The sequence below is a fragment of the Homo sapiens genome, chromosome 6 (assembly GCF_000001405.40).
Source record: "Homo sapiens chromosome 6, GRCh38.p14 Primary Assembly".
Taxonomy (NCBI): Eukaryota; Metazoa; Chordata; class Mammalia; order Primates; family Hominidae; genus Homo; species Homo sapiens.
In genome coordinates this window covers 98,105,342-98,126,346 of record NC_000006.12, presented here as the reverse complement: position 1 = coordinate 98,126,346, position 21,005 = coordinate 98,105,342, and the positions used below count along the sequence as shown (strand labels likewise).

At 35.2% G+C, this 21,005-nt stretch overlaps 1 annotated feature.

Moving 5' to 3' along the window:
- Nucleotides 9,625-10,126: an enhancer, noted in NCBI's record as "H3K4me1 hESC enhancer chr6:98564097-98564598 (GRCh37/hg19 assembly coordinates)". NCBI's record gives its function as "activates a minimal SCP1, AML or CMV promoter by ChIP-STARR-seq in primed H9 embryonic stem cells {active_cell/tissue: H9 hESC(primed)}" and the evidence as "EXISTENCE:reporter gene assay evidence [ECO:0000049][PMID:30033119]".

The following is a 21,005-nucleotide window of genomic DNA, read 5'->3' as shown; positions in this document are numbered from 1 at the left end:
GGCATCTACTCACTATAGTTCTTATAAGTGCACTCTGTTATGTGGATAATACATGCCACATTTTCTGCAGTTTGATCATTTTAAAGTATACAGTATAAAGATACTGACTGGTCTTTATGCCCAACATATAAATTAACATTTCATTTAATAATGATAACTTAGAATCATGATACACTTTATAATTTACAAATCAATTTTACATTGGTAATCTCATCTTAAAATTTTGTCTCAAAAACAGATTTTTAATAAGATTCTAATGTTATGAAAACTGCCCATTTTCTCCAAGTCTGGATTTTTTTCCAAATGTATTAAATTATTTTGAAAAAGATAATTTTAAATTAAATAGATAACTCTCCAGGATGAATCACCAGTTCTGTCCTTCCACATTTTAAACTTTTACCTTTTTTGAAGATTTCTTCCACCATTAAGAATATGTCTTATGTGGATTTTCTTGCAATATCAAAGCAAGAGAAGATTGTATAAGACTTTTTGCCAGATTAATGACATTTGCAAAAATGATAGATAAAATAAAAATGAGCCTAGTCACTAGGAGTTTCAGATTCTCATTTTCAGTTAAGCATAATGTATGCAGATTAAAAAGAAAAATCATAATAAATTAGCTTTATAACCAGCAAGAATTCTAAGTGGGTTAGTAGACTATGCTTACTCCATGCCATTTAACAATGACAACATTGTGCAATATTTTCTTAATTATACCAAAGCAAGTGTTTTAAAAAATCACTGGCTTTCTCAAGTTTCTGATGCTTGCCCTATCGGCGGAAAGGGAAAAACAAGAAAGGAAACATTTCTTAAAAAGCCACTTTGGTAATATCTGAGACAACACCATTCTTATTTCACTGGGATTTCATTTCATTCCTGTAGGTTTAACATCTCACTGCATGAACAAAGAAAATATCATGCAAAAAGGGCTTCAGGCTAGCTACTTCCAAAAGGATTCAACCTTTCTAGTGCTATCAATATCATCCATACACCCACATAGTTAGCACTTTTGAATACATTTACTGAAAACCATTAATAAAGCAACAATCTTAGTCTGGTTCTTAACCATGTGTCAGAGTGAAAGAAGTTCATGTAAATCTGTGAACTGCACGACAATGATCAAATTAACAGTCATTTCAAGAAAAAATGCCCCTCAGGCTGAAAAATAATTAGTAGTCTCTCACTATCTTTTCCTCCTAATAAAAATCACGATATTATTGTTGACTGTGCTAATAAAACACCTCCCGTGACCCTGATGCAGCTTGATGTAAAATGTAAGGACTGTTCTATTGTGCAGTCTCACACATGTTTTATTGAACATTTCCACTTGGCTCTTCATCTGGGAACACACAGGCCCATAGAAGCTGAAGAACTTTTGTCACAGTGTAATGCAACTCTCACTTGTTTATTGCTGCAGTTAATAAAACACCCACTTTGAAATTTATTATCTTTGAAATTTAACTTTTAACTGCAGAAACTGAATATTCAGAGCTTCGTATATAAGCAGGGATAAGAGAAAGAGACAGAAAAAGCCAACAGAGAGAATCCAGTGCGTGCATAAAGCAGCCCAAGGTTGGCATATATGTAGCCATAAATGTCAAGTCCTGGATTTTGACTTTTAGGAAAACAATATTGAGAAAGTCTTAATGGTCAGAGGTTGTTCAACATATTTTCCATCTGGTTATTTATACTCACACCAAGATTACCTTTTGAACGCTTTTGTGCAAAACAATAGTGGAGGTCTATGAGGGACAGAAAGAAGTTAAAAAGCATAATTCCTGTTCTCAAGGAACTTATCAAGGATATGACACATTGGGTTTCTGCACTGAAGTGGATGATGAGCTAATGTTGGTTAATAACATTTCCAATATACAAGCTGAGGATAAAACGTCAGTTGTCTTTATAAAAAAAAAATACATAAACCTGAGAAAGTCAGCAAACTACTGAAGCATGTGACTCAGAACATTAAATAGCATCTATATACTGATAGCATGATTCATAAGAAACTTGGTTTCAGGAATCAACATGATTCAACAAAGGCATCTGGAGGTGGTGAGATGAATAAGATATTGTCTTTTCCCTGAAGTGGTTTGGTGTTCAGGAAAGGAAAATTCATCACTATCGCTAATTATAATATAAACCAGAATATGGCCAGTTGTTCCAGTGACTATTTACTCTATAGCAGAATATTTTCATTGTGCTTTTGTAAATTCTTAGAATCAAGTCTTTGAAGTAATCAATGATACAAATGTTTCTTGGAAAAAGCTGAACATGTTCAGGCATAATTTTAAGGAAATATGTAAGTGTCAAACATTATCAGAAAAGATATAGTAGTTAACAGCAGAGAGTAAGCAATTGGATAATGAAAAGAAATGTCAAGCTTTTTGTTGATATTACAAGAATATATATGAAAATATACATTTTCCAAGAGCAAAGAAAATTTTGTTTTGCCTAAGTTTTACGGAAGGGACATCTCAGAATTCCTCTAAACCCCTCTTTTTCAAAGTGAGCTCCACTCTACAATTAAAAAAAAAAGTTTTAAAGGTTCAGTAAGTCTGGAAATACTAGATAAGCCAAGTTAAACATCTCTAGAGCTTTAATATGGTCACGTGCATTGTGGATCTCTAGGAGAAAACATTCCTCTAACAGAGCATCTCAAAGGACTGTAGTTCCACGGACCAAAGCTTGGACATAGCAACATCTGATGGTAGATGGGAACAAAAGCAGACTCTCAGCTCCCATCCCTAAAAGGTGGAGCCTAGAAGTCTTTACTTTTAAGACTCTTCAGGTGATTTCAATGTAATTATCTAGTATTGAACCTTGAACGGATATTTGAGAGTCACTGCTACTAAAGGTAAGACTTTACATTTAGATACTACAGGTGATTCAAGATTTATGAACATTAGTTTTCTTTTTTTTTTTTTTTTTTGAGGCAGAGTCTCGCTCTGTCACCAGGCTGGAGTGCAATGGCACCATCTCGGCTCACTGCAACCTCCGCCTCCCAAGTTCAAGCGATTCTCCTGCCTCAGCCTCCCAAGTAGCTGGGACTACAGGTGCACACTGCCACACCAGGCTAATTTTTGTATTTTTACTAAAGACGGCGTTTCACCATGTTGTCCAGGATGGTCTCAATCTCTTGACCTTGTGATCCACCCGTCTCGGCCTCCCAAAGTGCTGGGATTACAATTAGCTTCAATATAATAGTAGGCATTAAAGCATTATTTCAGAAAGCCTTTCAATAGAGAGATGAAAGTAAATGCTTTTCATAAATACCCTTTGCTGGAAAAAGGCAAATCTTTCATTTCTCGGGCTATGGTCTACTTTACATCATAACGATGTGAACATTTTGAAAAGAAAGAGGAAGGAATTTCTGAATGTCAGTGCTCAACAGATCTGGCTAATTATACTTGGCACAATTATTGTCTATACTGCTTGTTGCTTCTTTCAGCATGGGATGAGTTACCCCTCAGTTTTCTTTTCTTTCTTTTCTTTTTTTTACAAAGCAAAAAACACCTCTACCTCTCTTTATTTCCCTGGCTCTAAGTAGCCAAGTGCTTAGTAAAGAGAATCAAGCAGAGGCATGCCATTGCTTTAAATATTATGAGCTGCTGGGTGTCCAAATACTACATTCTGTCCTATGCAACTTTCATTTATATGATACACAGGCTGTTTTATTTTTTTAATTTAAATTTTTTTTTTTTTTTTTTTTTTTTTTTTTTGAGACGGAGTCTCGCTCTGTCGCCCAGGCTGGAGTGCACTGGCGCGATCTCGGCTCACTGCAAGCTCCGCCTCCCGGGTTCACGCCATTCTCCTACCTCAGCCTCCTGAGTAGCTGGGACTACAGGCGCCCACCACACCCGTATTTTTAGTAGTGTTAGCCAGGATGGTCTCGATCTCCTGACCTCGTGATCCACCCGCCTCGGCCTCCCAAAGTGCTGGGATTACAGGTGTGAGCCACCTTGCCCGGCCAGGCTGTTTTGATAAACTTTTCACTCTTTGAATTTTGCAACTTAAGTTTCAGCAAAAAATAACCCACAAAGCTGATTTTAAATAAAAGCAGATGGAACTGTCAAAGAAGGCCAAATGCAAGAAGCAAAAGGAAAAGTGTGTATTTTCTGAAAAAGTAGTCCATAAATTATTTTCATCTACCTCTCTCATGAAAGGTGTGCTTTGTGTGACCAATGTTGTCACACAGCAGCACATAAGATGGTATTGACACTGATCCTTCTAAAACAAATCAAGAGTAATGCCACAACTATTAGGATAATTTAACAAAAGAATTGTTGCCATTGGTCCTAACAGGCAGTCAGAGTTTTCTTTGTAATTCTAGCATTCTATATGTACAACACTGACAAAACTACAAGTTCTCTTTAGAGAATTTTTGTGCTTAGGAATCAGTGTAATTTTGAGTCAAGCATAAATCAACATAGATTGAAACCTGGCATCTCTCCTGAGTTGTTAAAGGGAGTTATAATGCATTTATTTAAAATCAATACTTAACTTCAGTTGTTGTTGTTTTTTTTTTTCTTTTGTTTGTTTGTAAAAGTGATACTGGTATATTGGTAATGCACTTTTTTTTTTTTTTTTTTTTTTGACAGAGTCTCCCTCTGTCACCCAGTCTGGAGTGCAGTGTCATGATCTCTGCTCACTACAACCTCCGCCTCCCAGGTTCAAGCAATTCTCCTGCCTCAGCCTCTCTAGTAGCTGGGATTACAAGCACGTGCCACCATGCCCAGCTGATTTTTGTACTTTTAGAGAGACAGGGTTTTACCATGTTAGCCAGGCTGGTCTCGAACTCCCGACCTCAAGTTATTTGCCCGCCTTGGCCTCCTAAAGTGCTGGGATTACAGACATAAGCCACCATGCCCAGCCGGTAGTAATGCATACTTGTAAATCAATATACATTGAGGAATTAAAGCCTCTTGTTTATAAAAAGTCTTCGGTGTCTTTAAAAAACAAAAATTCCAGCTCATGGTAGTCAAGTGACTGATAGATGAATGAATGAAGACATCTCATACACACAAATATAATTCCTCCCTCAATTATCCAAGTTCTAGCTGACTTTGACAGTGAATATTGTCTTGCCACTGTGATGTAAAAAGTTTAAATTATGCTAATACATTATTTGTTGTTGTTTCACTAGTCTATGTATACAACAAATCATCCCTAGTCATAGTGGCAAACAACTTTTTATTATCTTTTACATTTCTGTCAATTGACAGGACTCAGCTGGACAGTTTTCACTTAAGGCTTCTTGCAGCATTGCAAACAAATGTCATCCAAAGGTTTGATTGCCCTAGACATCCAAGATGGTAGGCAGTTAATTCTGGATGTCACATGAGAGTTGAGCTAGGGGTTTAGACCAGAGGATCTACATGGGACATCTTTGTGTGGCTCAGGCTTCTTACAAGTTCTTCGAGGAAGCATCATAAATATAAGTATACCAAGAGATCTGGGAGAACATGCAAGACTTAGTATGACCTAGACTTTGAAATCCCAGAATATTTCTTTGCTGTATTTTATAGGAAAATGTAAGCCACCAGATCCAGGCATGATTCAAGAGGAAGGGAACTAGACTCCATCTTTTAATGTGGGAAGTGTAGACATACATGGAGGGAAGGAATTAATAGTTTTTAGCTTTGACTATCGCAGCTTTTTAGTGGTTCTTCTTTCTTCAAAGACATAAGCATGTCTCAAAATTAAGTGAAATATTTTAGTCAAAGCACTTCTCTCTGTGGTATAAAGAGGCCTGATACCATTTTAACTCCTTACTTATTACTCCTTGAGGCAGAGGAAAAGTAGCAAAACCGTTAAATGGGAATGATCTCATTTCAATTGAGTATTGAACATTGTCAATAATTGTATGCTTTGCTGTATAAACGGCAAATATTGTAGAAACTGTGAAATATCAAGAAAATATAATAACCCTTGTTTTACCTAGTGACAGGCTGTTAAAGTCTATGAAAGATCATACTTTTAATTTCATGTACATCTCAATGAAGCAAATACTTGTACTCTTATTTTGCAGATGAGCCTCAAGAGGTTAAGTGTTGTTTCCCCCTCCCCCCTAAAAATGCACACTTAATAAATAGTAAAACTGAGACATCAGTCCAGGGATTTTGTTCTTTTTACTATATATGCTGTTAGAAAAAGTTTATAAATACTGTGAAAACTTGTGGAGAATTTGGAGGTGAGAGCATGAAAACAGGGCGAAGACACAGTAGGAGCCAGGGAACATTATGCTGAGAAACTTTCCTTTTACTGCTAGTTATTTCAACAAACATTTTCTACAATCTATACTACTAGAGTGGCGAGCCTTATGGTAACCACTGTCTGGGAAAAATTAAAAAACAAAACGAAACAAAACTCTAGACGTGGGGAGTGGAGAAAGAGCGAGCAATGTCATGGAGGTCATGGAACCGGCGGCCAGGATGAGGCACAGCATGGCTGGAGATGGTGTGTGGGAAATATATTGACAAGTGATGAACAATGAGATACACAGAGGAATGGGAGAGGAGACCCCTTCCCTCCCTCAATGCTCACACCCCCGCTGCTGAATAGCCTTTTGGGTTTGTATAGAGCTTGAGGAAGGCTGAAAGAAATCATGAGAACATCCATAGGCCGGCTGCAAGGCACTCTCTATTTTTTTTTTCTCTTTACACTGTTTAAAAACAAAGCAAAACAAAACAAAACTGCATGCCGATAGCAAGATGAATTAATTTAAATTTTCAATAATATCAAAGGAATATAATGTAACAAACAAAGTACGCTATTGCCTAATTATATAGTATTATGTTTCTGCTCGAGTCATGTGTATAGCCTAATCTTAAAAACGAGGGGAAAATAGTATGAGTAGCAGCAACTTTATTTGATTCCTTTCTCTAAACAGTTTATAATTGCTTTAAAACTGGCATCAATTTTTAAGAAAAGTACTCTGACAAATACAATTATAAAAAAGATATAATGAAAGTGTTCAACATCACCTATTATATTATTTTTAGTATTTACCACTGATTTATATGTGTTACTAATTGGAAGATTAATCTAGGCAAATATTGTTCATTAGGCTTAAAATCTCATCAAAACCTAACTCAAAAAAAAAAAAAAAAAAAAGATCAGGCCACATAAGCAACTTTTTCAGTTATACATTTTTAAGTAAGTTGATTCACATCTTTTAGGGGTTAAGTGGTCTCAAATTATTTTTATAACATTGATATACATTTCAATTTGTGAGAGCAAGTTGCATTTCTTTAAAAGGATATCAAATTGTAATGTCATTCTTCATCTGCCTTTAATTCTTATCTATGCATTCATCTACATCCATCCCAGCCTATTATGAATAATGATTTCTAACTATTTTATGATCCATGTTTTTGCTGCAAAATGCACAAAAGTAATTAAGGCAAATTGGAACAATTACAGAAATACACTATTCAATAACTCAGTTGCCAAAAAAGTTTTACTGTACCCTAAGGAGGAAAAAAAATGCCTATACAGCAGTAATATCATTCCACACGTTTCATTTATTCCTGCAAGCCAGCCAAGCTCAAATTAATTGTACTGACTAAACTTTTCTTCTTGGAGAAAATTAAAGATATGCTGTTGTCAACACTTGAGCACAACCTTGCCGACACTTAAACTCAGAGAAGGGTGTGACATCCTACCCCGGCTGCCTTGCGCTAATTAATCACTCTGGTATTTAGGACCATTCAAGCAGACAAATTAATGGGGAATAATTAGTGTATCTTTGTTCCAGCTCAGCTTTGCACATCAGACACTCTCAGGGAGAGAGGGGAGTTTGCAGAGCGCAAGCCATTAGCATGTGCATAGTTTCACTTCTGTTCAGCAAGTTCTTCAGAGATTAAGAGAAAGGCCAAATTAGCAGACGTGTGACTGGGGTTAGGACACCCTTCTGGAAAGAAAGCTCTCTGTTTGGGTATCAGCTTTCAGAAGCAAGTCGATAATCCAGAGACTGAATTTCATAAAACACAATTAAACCTCAGGGATGAAATAATTCCAGAAACCAAAAACATGTTTTTAAAAAAATATAGTGAAAATATTATTATTATTTATACTGTTTGTATTTATTTATACATCACAGAGAAAAAGGCAGCCCTCAGAAATTTCACTTTTTCTCTATATTATTGTTGGTTTTTGTAAATTCTTATTGAAAATTGATTTTTATCAACAAATGGTATTTATAAAGTTTGTAATTAAAGTGTGTAGACCATTTAACCTCTCTCCATTTAGTTAGAACTCTCTGTAGATACTCCCTACGGCCATAAAACTTAATTTGTTTCTTCTGATAGGAATCAGAGAGTAGAAAATTCAGACAAAGTCTCTATACACAGTCAGTGTGACCGGCATAGTATTGATTAAAGTCTGTCCCATTTTATGCTGCTGACTGGTTTCAACGTGCATGTGGACTGAAGGCACAGTTTCTTATTGAAATATATTTAAAAACTAAAAATAAAGTATTGAGATTTACTACATTCAGAATATATCATGATTTGGCTTCACTACTGAAAAATTTTAAAAGATGAAACCAATTGACTCATATGAGTACATATTTTCCTGGATTAAAACCATGGGTTTTACTTTGATACACAAATTCTTCCCCTCACCAGACAAAAACATCTGATTTTTTACACAAATAATGCTTCCAACATTATATTTTATCCTGATGATAAATTATTTCTGAGCTTTTTATTAACAGTTTGCTATATACAGAACTTATCTAAACATACTGCAAATAATTGTGTGAATATATGTATATCCATACACATAATCACACTTGGTTTATACCATATGTGTGCATGATCTTTTATTGCTTTTTCTCATGTGTCTGCAGTTTATGTAAAGGAGGCATTTTTCCTGTTTTCCTACCTAAACTTCCTATGTTTTGTATGTCCAGTGACTATTTTCTACATGTTACTATCTAACCCTCCAGCTTTATCACTTAACAAGCAAGGCAAGAATTATTGCTATAGCATACAGAGAACATTCCTGCGGATTCCATACTCACTGTAGGAAGGCTCAAAACACAGACCTCCTCACTCTCAGAGAACAAGGGTACTGCATGGAAAGGCAGGCCCAGAGGGTCAGGAGCTGATGTTAAGAGAGACCACACAGTGTGAAAATAGACCACATTCCCAGACCAGTTATCAATTCTTTTGTAAAGAGATTCCACCACCCTAACTACAAATGTGAATTAAATGTGGGACACTGTGAGTACATTTAGTTCTATTAATAGCACATAACATAAAAATAGTCCAAAAAAGGAATTTCCCTACCTGGACCATACCAAAATTTATGATATTGCTTTACCACATGCAGCTTCTAGATCTCATAAAAATATGATATTGTTAGGCATAATGCTCTTGAATTTGTGCTGGTGGAATGGAAGGAAAAAAAAACAATCACAAAACTATATATTCTTACAATTTCTTAGAGAGGAGAAATGAATCTCTCTCCAGTCTCAGTTGAAATACTAAATTACTGCCTATGATAAGCCCAGATACCATTAGAAAGGCTTCCATCCTGGGAGTAGGTCCTCCTAGATCTTTGAAGGTGCCTAATCCTCATTAAAGGCAAACCCTGGGCGTAGGAGGGGCTGCGCTGGCATCAAGGCACCTGGCGACGACTAAAAGCGCTGGCCCCATGTGCGGCTGCTGCTGAGCAGCAGAATGTAATTTAGTCGCACCAGCGGGAGCAGAGGTCAATGATTTTATATTAATGGGGATCACGACAGTTCTAAGCTGTGGCATGCTTTGAAATAAGTGTTGTACAAGGCAGCAAAGAGAGCTCAGCTGAGGAAATGAGCTGTGTCACTGTCTCCTCATGCCTTGCAGCAAACACTGGAATGTTTTTAGTTGCCACAGACTCTGTGCCATCATAATATTTTATAAACAACAATTACCTGTTTCATTTTGCAAAACTCAGACTCCTAAAGTAATGCTGCTCAAGATGCCACAAAGGATGAACAAATTCCTTTCTAATCGAAATTCGGACCAAGTTGTGTGGACAAAGAATAAATATCTGGGATGTTCATATCTGAAAACTAACTAATGAAAACAAGTGCAAGTGTGTTGTGGGTGTCTGTTGTGATACTATTGAAAGATGGTATAGCATCTTTGATAACTTTGACATGTTATCAAAGTGTCCACACCTAAAACAAAAGAGATGGAAAGGGAATTCAAGGCAATGCTTTTAAATTTTAGTCAATATTAAACCTTCATCTGCAGTTGAAAGCACTGTTATCACATCTTTACCAAAATTTATCTACGTTTTTACATTTATTTTCAGGGATATCAGTTTTAGACTCCATGTTAAATTTTTAGAAGATTGATATTTTTTTCCAAATTAGTAATCGGGAATGGGGGGCAAGAAATCATTTTTGTCAGCATCTCTGAAGGTAGGGAAAAGAAGGAAAATCGAGCTCTTCCAAGCTTCACAGGGAAAAGAAGGAAAATCGAGTTCTTCCAAGTTGCAAGGACGGTCAGATGAGAAGGGTACATTATATGTGGAAAACAACAGAGGTATGACAAGAAATGAAGTTTCTATTTTCAAAACTTCTTTTGAAGTAAGCAGGACAGAGGTACCAGAGCCAATAGGAATAAGCATATAAGCTGTGCCAAATATGATTGATTAGGAGACCTCTACCATTAAGTGATCAACAGCTCGCCAAGAGTTATAAAAAAAAAAATTAACTGTGAAAAGGCAAATGTGTTGACCAGAATATTAAAATCTATTCCTATAAATTTCACTTGGTAAAACAATTGATTCATTTTCAATAGTTCTTCCATGCACAAGAAAAGTCCTAGCTGGGCTCTGGGATTAGTGAGCCACTACTGGAGAAAAAAAAAGTGCTATAATTGAACATTGAGTTATATATCATCTGAAAAAACACTTTCTGCAAAACAAAATCCAAGCTTGACTAGTTTATTACAGATATACTTTCCAAAGATGATCTGTGAAACTACAGTGCCACGGCAGATGTTCAATGCAAAATCTCACATACATGCAGACATATATATATATATATATATATATATATATATAAAGTTTCTGTAGTTAGATCTGTTTAAAAAACACTGCATTTTATAAGGTTATTTTCTGTATTACTAAAGAACATTAGCATATTAGAGGCACTAAGTTCTGAAATAAAGAATCTCTTAAGTTTCCTTCAGATCTTTACTGTCCAACTAATTTTATTACTTTTTTCCCCCCTGACCTTATGATCATTCTCCTTGCTGAAATACGCTTTGGGAAATTCCATATTAGAATTCAGTAAGTTAGTGAATATGTATTTTTATCAAGCTGAACTAGACTAGATGCAATCTCTGCCCCAAGTTTATTCCCCTACACCTAGGAACTGATTAATAGAAAATTTGGGTTGTTAATTATAATTAAATTGAGATCAGACTTTCAGAAGGTGTGCAATAAAGTAGACGGTATTTATAATTTTATATGCCAAAAATTGGAGCAGCACTATTTATTTTTCCCCGGAAGACAAAGGCAAAGAAGAGTAGGTATGTTTCTACCTACAAATGTGAGGAATGGAAGTTACCAAAGCTGTGATGTGGATATTTTCTAAATTCATCATGCTTTTAAATAACTTGGAATATAAAGTTGCTTGGATGTTCTAAGACCGGAGATACACGTAGTTTTGAAGGAGTAATCAGAGCAGAGAGTAGGGCCAGATAAATGAGTCATTGTCTCAAGAACAGAAGGGATAACGAAAAACTCAGTAATCAAGATACATAATATTTTAATCAATAGATTTCAATATTAAAATTTATGCAAATAAATCCATGATGAACAAAATATCAAAATTTTAAATAAAGACAGGATTAGTGTTACTGATGGTCCCTTTTGCCTTAGGCTCCAATATGGCTCAGCACAGCACTGGGATAAGAAAGTACCAGGAGACAAACTGCAAGAAGAAAGGAGCACTTAATTGGGTGTCCAAATTAGCTCTGATTCTTCCTGATAATAAACAGCCACATAACTTTAGAAAGCCTTATAAATATACCATGTCTGTGTTTACTCATTTACAGAGAGGACAATAATTCTCTAACTATTCTGAGAAGCATTCAATCAATGAAGTTTTTATAGATGTTCAAAGAAAAAATAAAAATGGATAGTAATTTTGATATCTAATATATTTGGAAAAAGCGCTGTTGAATTTGATCAGGTTTCCTTACTTCAGAACTTCTCATATATTTTTAACATGTTAGTGTATTTTATAATTGTCTTATAAGAAAACAGAGTATTTAAACAACTAGAGCACTTATTAACATCTTATTCACAGTATGAAAAATGCTGAACAAAATGATCTCAAGTTTCCTCCTCCCTTTAAAACTTTAAAATTCTAAAGAGACTTTTTAAAGGTAACATGCACAGAGTAAATAGCAGTTTAGTACAAATGCACAGAGTAAATAGCAGTTTAGATACTTCATAAAAAATAAATTGAAATATGCTTACAGAAATATGTATTTTAATCGATCATTTACAGCACAGCAAAGTGATCTCTCATATCCATATTCCTGAAAAACAGAGAATCTACATGTTGGCTTCAACAGCCAGAAACAAATGTTAGATTAGGCTGAAGTTCTCATACTGAAACCTTACAGAAGATATGTAAAGGGTGGAAAATGAATGGAATAGAAACTGAGACACCATAGTTAGCTGACAGTGGATGAGAAGGGTAATTTTATGGGAACATATATTTTTAAAAGACGCTTCAGTATATGAATATGAAGTTTGAGAAACAATATAACAAAAGTTTATCAATCATAAAACACTAAAATGTATACACACAGTCATACAGGTATTGTATATTTTGTGTGTGTGTGCGTGTGTGTGGGTGTGTGTGAGAGACAGAGAGAGAGAAAGAACAATTAGGTATTAAATGTTGAAAGGGATACTTTCAAGGCATCCTTCACATAAAATGAATCCATACTCAGAGACAATCATTCTGAAGAAATTACATCAATGGCTTCTAAAATGCTTTAGAAAAAAATGATGAAAAACAAATCTATGGTAGTTTAATAATACATGTAGCAATTTTTTGGAAGAGCTCAATATCTAATAGTATAACTAAATATTTTGCAAAATGTGTCATGGAACCTGTGTTCAAAACAAACAACTGAGTTGGAATTTTCATGAATCTCAACATAGATATTACTTTTTATCTTCTCTTTAGACTTTGAAAATTTCAAGTGTGTTCCTCTATAACCTTATGTCAATTTTGTAAATCTCAAGCTATACCTACCACTATCACAGCAAAATTAAGGGAAAGGTCCATATATCTACTACCCTCACACTTGCATGGTCTGCCCAATTATCAACATCTCCTACCAGAGTGGAATATTTGTTACAACTGAACCTACGTGGCTGCATTGTCACCAAAAGTCCATAATTTACATTAGGTTTCACTCTTGGTGTTGTACAATTGATGGGTTTCACCAAATGCCTAATGACATGTATACACCATTATGGTAACATACAGAGAGTAGTTTTATTGCCCAAAACAAAATCGTCTGTGTTCTGGCTATTAATTCCTTTCTCAACCTCTGGAAACCACTGATCTTTTATTAATTATCTCCACAGTTTTTCATTTTCCAGACTGTTACATGGTAGGAATCATACAGTATATAGCTGTTTCAGATTGGCTTCTTTCACTTAGTGATATGCATTTAAGTTTACTCCATGTCTCGTCATGGCTTGATAACTAATTTCTCTTTAGCAATGAACCATATCCCACTGTGTGGAAGTTCATTTTCCATTCATCTACTGAATGACATCTTGGCTGTTTCCAAGTTTTGGCAATTATAAATAAAGCTGCAGGTTTTTGTGTGGACATAAGTTTTCAACTTATTTGTGTTAACACCAAGAAGACTTGTACCTATTTTAATTCATCCTACCAGATGACAAAACAATAAACTTGATTAAATGCAGTTGTGCCAATTCTAGTACATACAGTTGCTCTGAATAAAGTTGAAGAAACACACACACACACACACACAGACACACAGAGTGTTTCTGAACTCACTTTACATTTATGAGCACAAACTTCAATTTTTTTTAGTGCTCGATTGTTCTGTACTTCCGTTCACTCTCTCAATTATCTAGAATAATGTATGATTCATATTTCCTCCTCTCCAGGTCTCTAGTATCTCCTCCCTCATGTTCACTCTCAGGCATGTCCTTGCTCTGTATTTCACTGAGAAAATAGAAATCAATCGAAGGGAATTTCCATAAGTTTTTTCCATTTTTTTCACACTTCTAGAAACCTACCTTTGTAACCTTACATTTTGCCTTTTTTTTTTTCTATTACTGTGGAGGAATTGTTCTTACTCCTACATAGGCCAAATCCTCCATTCACCTGCTGGATTACATCGCATATGGCCTAATCAAGTACACCGCTCAAGCAAATCTTTCCTTTCTTGCATACCATAATTTTCTTCTCTCTACGTTTTCCCTTCCCATTTCCGCCTAATTCTCTCCTTCCTTTTATATCAAAACTTCCTTGAAGACATCTAATCTCACTTTCTCCTCCCACTTTCATTTGACTCCACTCCAAACAGGCTTTTTGCCACTCTCCACTACACCTAAACTAAGTTATCAGTGAACTCTATTTTGCCAAGCCCAGTGGTCAACTCTTGTTATCCATTATATTTCTGCTATAAGTAATATTTTACATTTTTCACATCCATTACCACTTTAAATCAAACTATCATTATCTCCCTCCTAGATTATTACTAAAGCCTCTCAACTGCTCCAGCTCTCACGTTGCCCCCCTCCAAACTATACCTAGCTGAAGCCAGAGGAATTCTGCAAAAATGTAAAGTGCACCAATGCACTTTTATGCTCATAGTTCTCCATCCTACTCAGGGTAAAAGACAAAGACTTCCTAACGTAAGAAGTTATAACTAACCTGGTCACCTGTCACCTCTGAGTTTATCATCTATTCCTCTCTTTTTCACAAGCCGGGTCATTCTGCTAAAATCATATTTGCCTCTCCGTTGTCCTTTAAATAAACTAGGCATGCTCCCAACTCACATCCTTTGATGTTGTTCTTTCCACTGCCTCTTATAATCTCAACTTTAATATTCATAGGATTTGTTTCCCTTTTCCTTCAGGTCTTAACTAACCCACTACCTTCCCAGAGCATTCTTCTCTAGGTATGCTGTCTAAAATTGTGTACACACACACACACACACACACACACACACACGTCATACTTCCTATAACACTACCCTAGTTATTATCTACTGCACTTATCACTATCTGACATATTGCAAATTGTATTGTTTTCTTTAATGTATAATTTACGTTTTCCATCTTATATTTTACTTTCTACCTATTAATTTTTCTCATTTAGAATGTGAGCTCCTGAGGGCAAGTTTTTCTTCTTCAGTTCTGTTTACAGCTGTATCCCCAGGACCTAAAACAAGTCTATAACAAACAGGTGCCCGAAATGTATTTGCTGAATAAATTAAATGAATGAATTTTGACTTCATTTCAGTTGAAAGCATTACTCTATTTATCTAATTATAATAGTGAAATAATTTGTCCAAAAGTAATGCATAATATTCTAGTGAGAATGATTAGAAACAATGTAAGGGATCCTTATTTCTTTCTTTCTACCTTATATTACACCTCAAGTTTTTGGTCAATTTAATCTTTAGCTCTACAAAGTTTTCATTTTTATATTATCAAACAAGCCTATCAATTCTTTTCTGGCAACTGGATTCCTATTCTTGGTTAAGAAGGCACCTCGCAGATTCCAGGTTGCAAATATAATCTCCAAAGTATTTGTACAGATCCTTTCAAAAACACCTGAAATTTTTGTATATGTTGTATTACAGCAGTCCAACTTATTGATTAATTACTCCTATTTGTAATGCTATTTATTTAGACTTTCACCTATAGGTAGAAATACATATATTAGCCTAGACTTACATAGGGTCAGTATCATTGAGATACCACTAGGCTATATAATTTTTTCAGCTTCAGTATAATATTATAGGACCACCATCATATATGTAGTCCATCACTGACTAAAATATCACCATGCGATTCATGATTATATATATACAAGCATATCTCCTTTCATTGCACTTCACTTTAATGCACTTTGTTAGATACTGCATTTTTTACAAATTGAAGATTTGCAGTAACCCTGCATTGCGAAGTCCATTGGTGACATTTTTTCCAAGAGCATGTGCTCACTTTGCATCTCTGCATCACATTTTGGCAATTCCTGCAATATTTAAAACATTTTTATTTCTGTTATGGTAACCTATGATTGGTAATCTCTGATGTTACTATTGTCATTGTTTGGAGCACCACAAACTGCACCCATTTAAGTTGGCCAACTTAATCTATAAATGCTGTAAAAATTCTATGTGTTCTGACTGGTCTATTGACCAGCCATTCACTGCCTCTTTCCATCTTCTTGGACCTCTCTATTCCCTGAGACACAACAATATGGAAATGAGGCCAACACTTATAGCGTGTAAGTGTTCAAGTGAAAGGAAGAGTCACTCTAAATCAAAAGCTAGAAATGGGTAAGCTTAGTGAGGAAGGCATGTCAAAAGTCGAAACAGGGTGAAAGCTAGGCTGCTTTCATCAAACAGTTAGCCAACTTGTGAATGCAGAGTAAAAGTTATTGAAAGAAATTAAATGTGCTACTCCAGTGAACACAAGAATGAGAAGAAAGCAACACAGACTTATTGCTGATATGGAGAAGGTTTGAGTGATTGTCTTGATAGAAAACCAAACCAGCCAAAATATTCCTTTAAGACAAAGCCTAATCCAGAGCAAGCCCCCAACTCTTCAATTCTATGAAGGCAGATCGACGTGAGGAATCTGTAGAAGAAATGTTTGAAGCTAGTAGAGGATTGTTGATGAGATTTAAGGAAAGAAGCTATCTCCATAACATAAAAGTGCAAGGTGAAGCAGCAAGTGCTGATATAGAAGCTGCAGCAAATTATCCAGAAGAGTTATCTAAGATCATTGATAAAGGTGACTACACTAAACAACAGATTTTCAATGTAGATGAAACTGCCTTACATGTTGGAAGAGGATGTCATTTGGTTCTTTCATAGCTAGAAAGGAGAAGTCAACACCTGCCTTCAAAGCTTCAAAGAGCAGGCTGACTCTCTTGTTAGGGGCTAATGCAGCTGGTGACTAAGTTGAAGCGAATGCTCATTTACCATTCCAAAAATCCCAGGGCCCTTAGGAATTAGGCTAAATCTACTCTGCTCGTGCCTTATATATGGAAACAACGAAGCCTGTATGACAGCACATTTGTTGAAAGCAAGGTTTACAGAATATTTTAAGCTCACTGATGTTGAGACCTACCGCTCAAAAAAAAGATTTCATTCAAGCTATACTGTTCGTTAACAATGCACCTAATCACCCAAGAGCTCAGATGAAGATGTACGAGGAGATTAACTTTGTTTTCATGGCTGCTAACATAACAACCATTCAGCAGTCCATGAATCAAGGACTAATTTTTACTTCCAAGACTTAGTATTTAAGAAATACATTTTGTAGGGCTACAGCTGCCATAGAAAGTAATTCTTTCGATAGACCTGGGAAAAGTAAACTGAAACATTCTGGAAATAATACACCATTCTGGACATCATTAAGAACATTTGTGATTTATGGGAGGATGTCAAAATATCAATATTAACAGGAGTTTATAAGAAACTGATTCTAACCTTCATAAATGACTTTGAGGGGTTCAAGATTCAGTGGAGGAAGTAGTGGTAGATAGAACAAGAGAATTAGAATTGGAAGTGGGCCCAAAGATAAGGCTGAATTGCTATAATCTCATGATAAAACTCATAAGAAACTGCTTCTTATGGATGAGCAAAGAAACTGGTTTCTGAAGATGGAATCTGCTCCTGGTGAAGATGCTGTGAGCAGTGTTAATAAGACAACAAGGGATCTAGAATATTACACCATTTTAGTTGATAAAGGAGTGGCAGAGTTTGAGTTCCAGTTTTGAAAGTTCTACTTTGGGTAAAATGCTCTCAAGTAGCATTGCATATTACAGAGAAACTTTTTGTAAAAGGAAGAGTCAATTTATGGCAAACTTTGTTTTATTTTAAGAAATTGCCATACCCCACCCAACTTTCAGCAACCCTGATCAGTCAGCAGCCATCAATATCAAGGCAAGACCATCTACCAGCAATGAGATTACAACTTGCTGTAGGCTCAGATAATTGCTAGCATTTGTTAGCCATAAAGTTTTTTTTTTCTAAATGAAGTTAGGTACATTTTTTAGACATGATGCTATCATTACTCACTTAAAAGACAATAGTATAAAGTGAACATAACTTTTATATGCACTGGGAAACCAAAAACAATTGTGTAAGTTGCTTTCTTGCACTATTTACTTTATTCCAGTGGTCAGGAATGAAACCTGCAATATTTACACACTTTTATTTTTAATAAGTCTCCTGAAGTGTTTTTCTTTATACAATACCTATTAAATGAACAGCTTTGATTTTATTTATCATTTACTATTTTCTATATTTTACCTTATTAATTTAAAATTTTTAACTTTTATATGGTAAGCCCTCTTTCTACTTTATTTTGCACTGTTTTGTAACTATTTTTCTAATTTCATAAAATAATTTGTACATTTTTTTTTTTTTTGAGATGGAGTCTTGCTGTTGCCCAGGCTGCAGTGCAATGGTACCATGTCAACTCACTGCAACCTCCGCCTCCTGGGTTCAAGCGATTCTCCCGTCTCAGCCTCCCAGGTAGCTGGGATTACAGGCGTACACCACCACACCCAGCTAATTTTTATATTTTTAGTAGAGACGGGGCTTTGCCATGTTGGCCAGGCTGCTCTCAAACTCCTGACCTCAGGTGATCCACCGACCTCAGCCTCCCAAAGTGCTGGGATTACAGGCATGAGCCACCATGCCCGGCCTTGTTTTTCTTTTTTATTAAGACATTCATAATGCATTTTCTTCAGATAAGTACTTTTCCTGTGTTCTTACAATTATGTCACAAAGTGTTGTGTTTTTATTTTTTATTTTTTGCTTTCTAGAGATATAATTTTCCTACTTAAAAAAAAAATCTGATCCAATAATTGTCTAATTTCCAAGTAACCTCAGAATACTTTAGCTTTTGTTTTTCTTGTGCTTTATTTATTTATTTGGTAATAATTAGAGAATGTGGCCTAGAAATTCCCTTGTTTTAAATTTCTTAATGTTTCCTTTGTGGCCAATTTTGGACAATTTTTACAAACTCCCCATAATACACAAATTAAGTATCTTAACTTTTCAAGAGATACAAACTTCTATGTATAGCTAATTGTTGAACATTATTGATTTTATTATTCATCTTATTTTTATGGCTATTTTCTTCCTGTCTCTCTCTAAGCCTAAAAGTGGGTAATTGAAATATTCCTCTACAAACAGATTCAGCTATTTTGTGGCCTATTGAAAAGAAGTTTATCTTTTTCATATATTATCTTCTATATATCATATCTTCTTTATAATACACTCATTTTATTATTAGTTGGTATTTTAGTTCATTTTCAGACTTTTAATATTGACTGTATCATGTCTGATATTACCATTGACACTTCTACAATCTTTATCTTTGCCTCCTGTTCATTTGTCTATTGCTTTATCTTTAAACTTTCTTTTATGTATACCTTAAGTGTGCTTAAACTCTGTTGTATTTTTTAACTCAATATCATAGTCTCTTTCTTATGAGAAAATTCAGTTCATTCATGTATAGCATTATCTTATAAATTTGACTTTGTTGCTTCTATGTTAATTAAATATTTCTTAGATACTGAATTTTCCCTTTTTCTCAATTGACTAGGTTGCTTCATTCTATTTTACCCTTGTAAATGTGAAAGCAAAACTATAGTTCACTATTTTATTAATATTTATTCTCCATTTTCTACTTGTACAATCATGTGCACATTTCTCTATCATCTTTAGAATAAAGAGTCAGGTGTTTTCCCCACTCTAATGCACTTTTATGTATGTAAAAATGCTTTACTTTATTTTTCTCCAAGACCCCTTTCCCACTACAATATTAGCTCAGAGAAATACAATGGGTTGTTCAAAAATTTCATGAAAAATGGGTATTATGAAAAAACTATGCCTGAAAATAAAAAAATTTGCATCAAAATAAACTCATCCTAACTTGTTCTAACATGTTTAAACAGGATCTAGTTTGAGGCACTATGAAGAATAATACACTGGTTTGAAAAGAGCCCCTATCATAGCAACATGAATTCTACAAAAATTGAAGCAGGAACAAACATCAACTTTATGGTGACGAGTGAGTGGAAGAATGGTGAAATCATTGACGCTCTACAAAAAGCTTCCAGGGACAATATTCCAAAGACGTCAGCAGTTTAAAAATGGATAACTCATTTTAAGAAGGGATAGGGTAATGTTAAATATAAAGCCCACAGCAGCAAACAATCCGTATCAACCTGTGAGGAAAAAATTAACCTTGATTTTGACCTAATTGAAAAGAACTGACAACAGCACAGACAATAGCCACCACTATAGACTTCCTAATTGATTCAGCTTACACAATTCCTATTGAAAAGTTAAAGATGAGCAAACTTTCCACTCAATGAGTGCCAAAACTGTGGCACCTAGATAAGTTACAAAAAACAGGAGAGATATCTATGGGAACTGTAAACAACTGAGATAGAGATTATGAAGAATTTCTTCAAAGAATTGCAACAGGAGATGAAACAGGGCTTTACCAGTACAATCCTGAAGACAATGCATAATCAAAGCAATGGCTACCAAGAGGTGGAAGTAGTCCAGTCAAAGAAGGGGACTGGTCAAGAGCAAAGATGATAACAGCATTTTGGGAATCTGAAGGCATTTTGCTTGTTGACTTTCTGGAGGGACAAAGAATGATAACATCTGGTTCTTATAAGAGTGTTCTGAAAAAGTTAGCTAAAGCTGTAACAGAAAAAATGCCCAGAGAGTCCT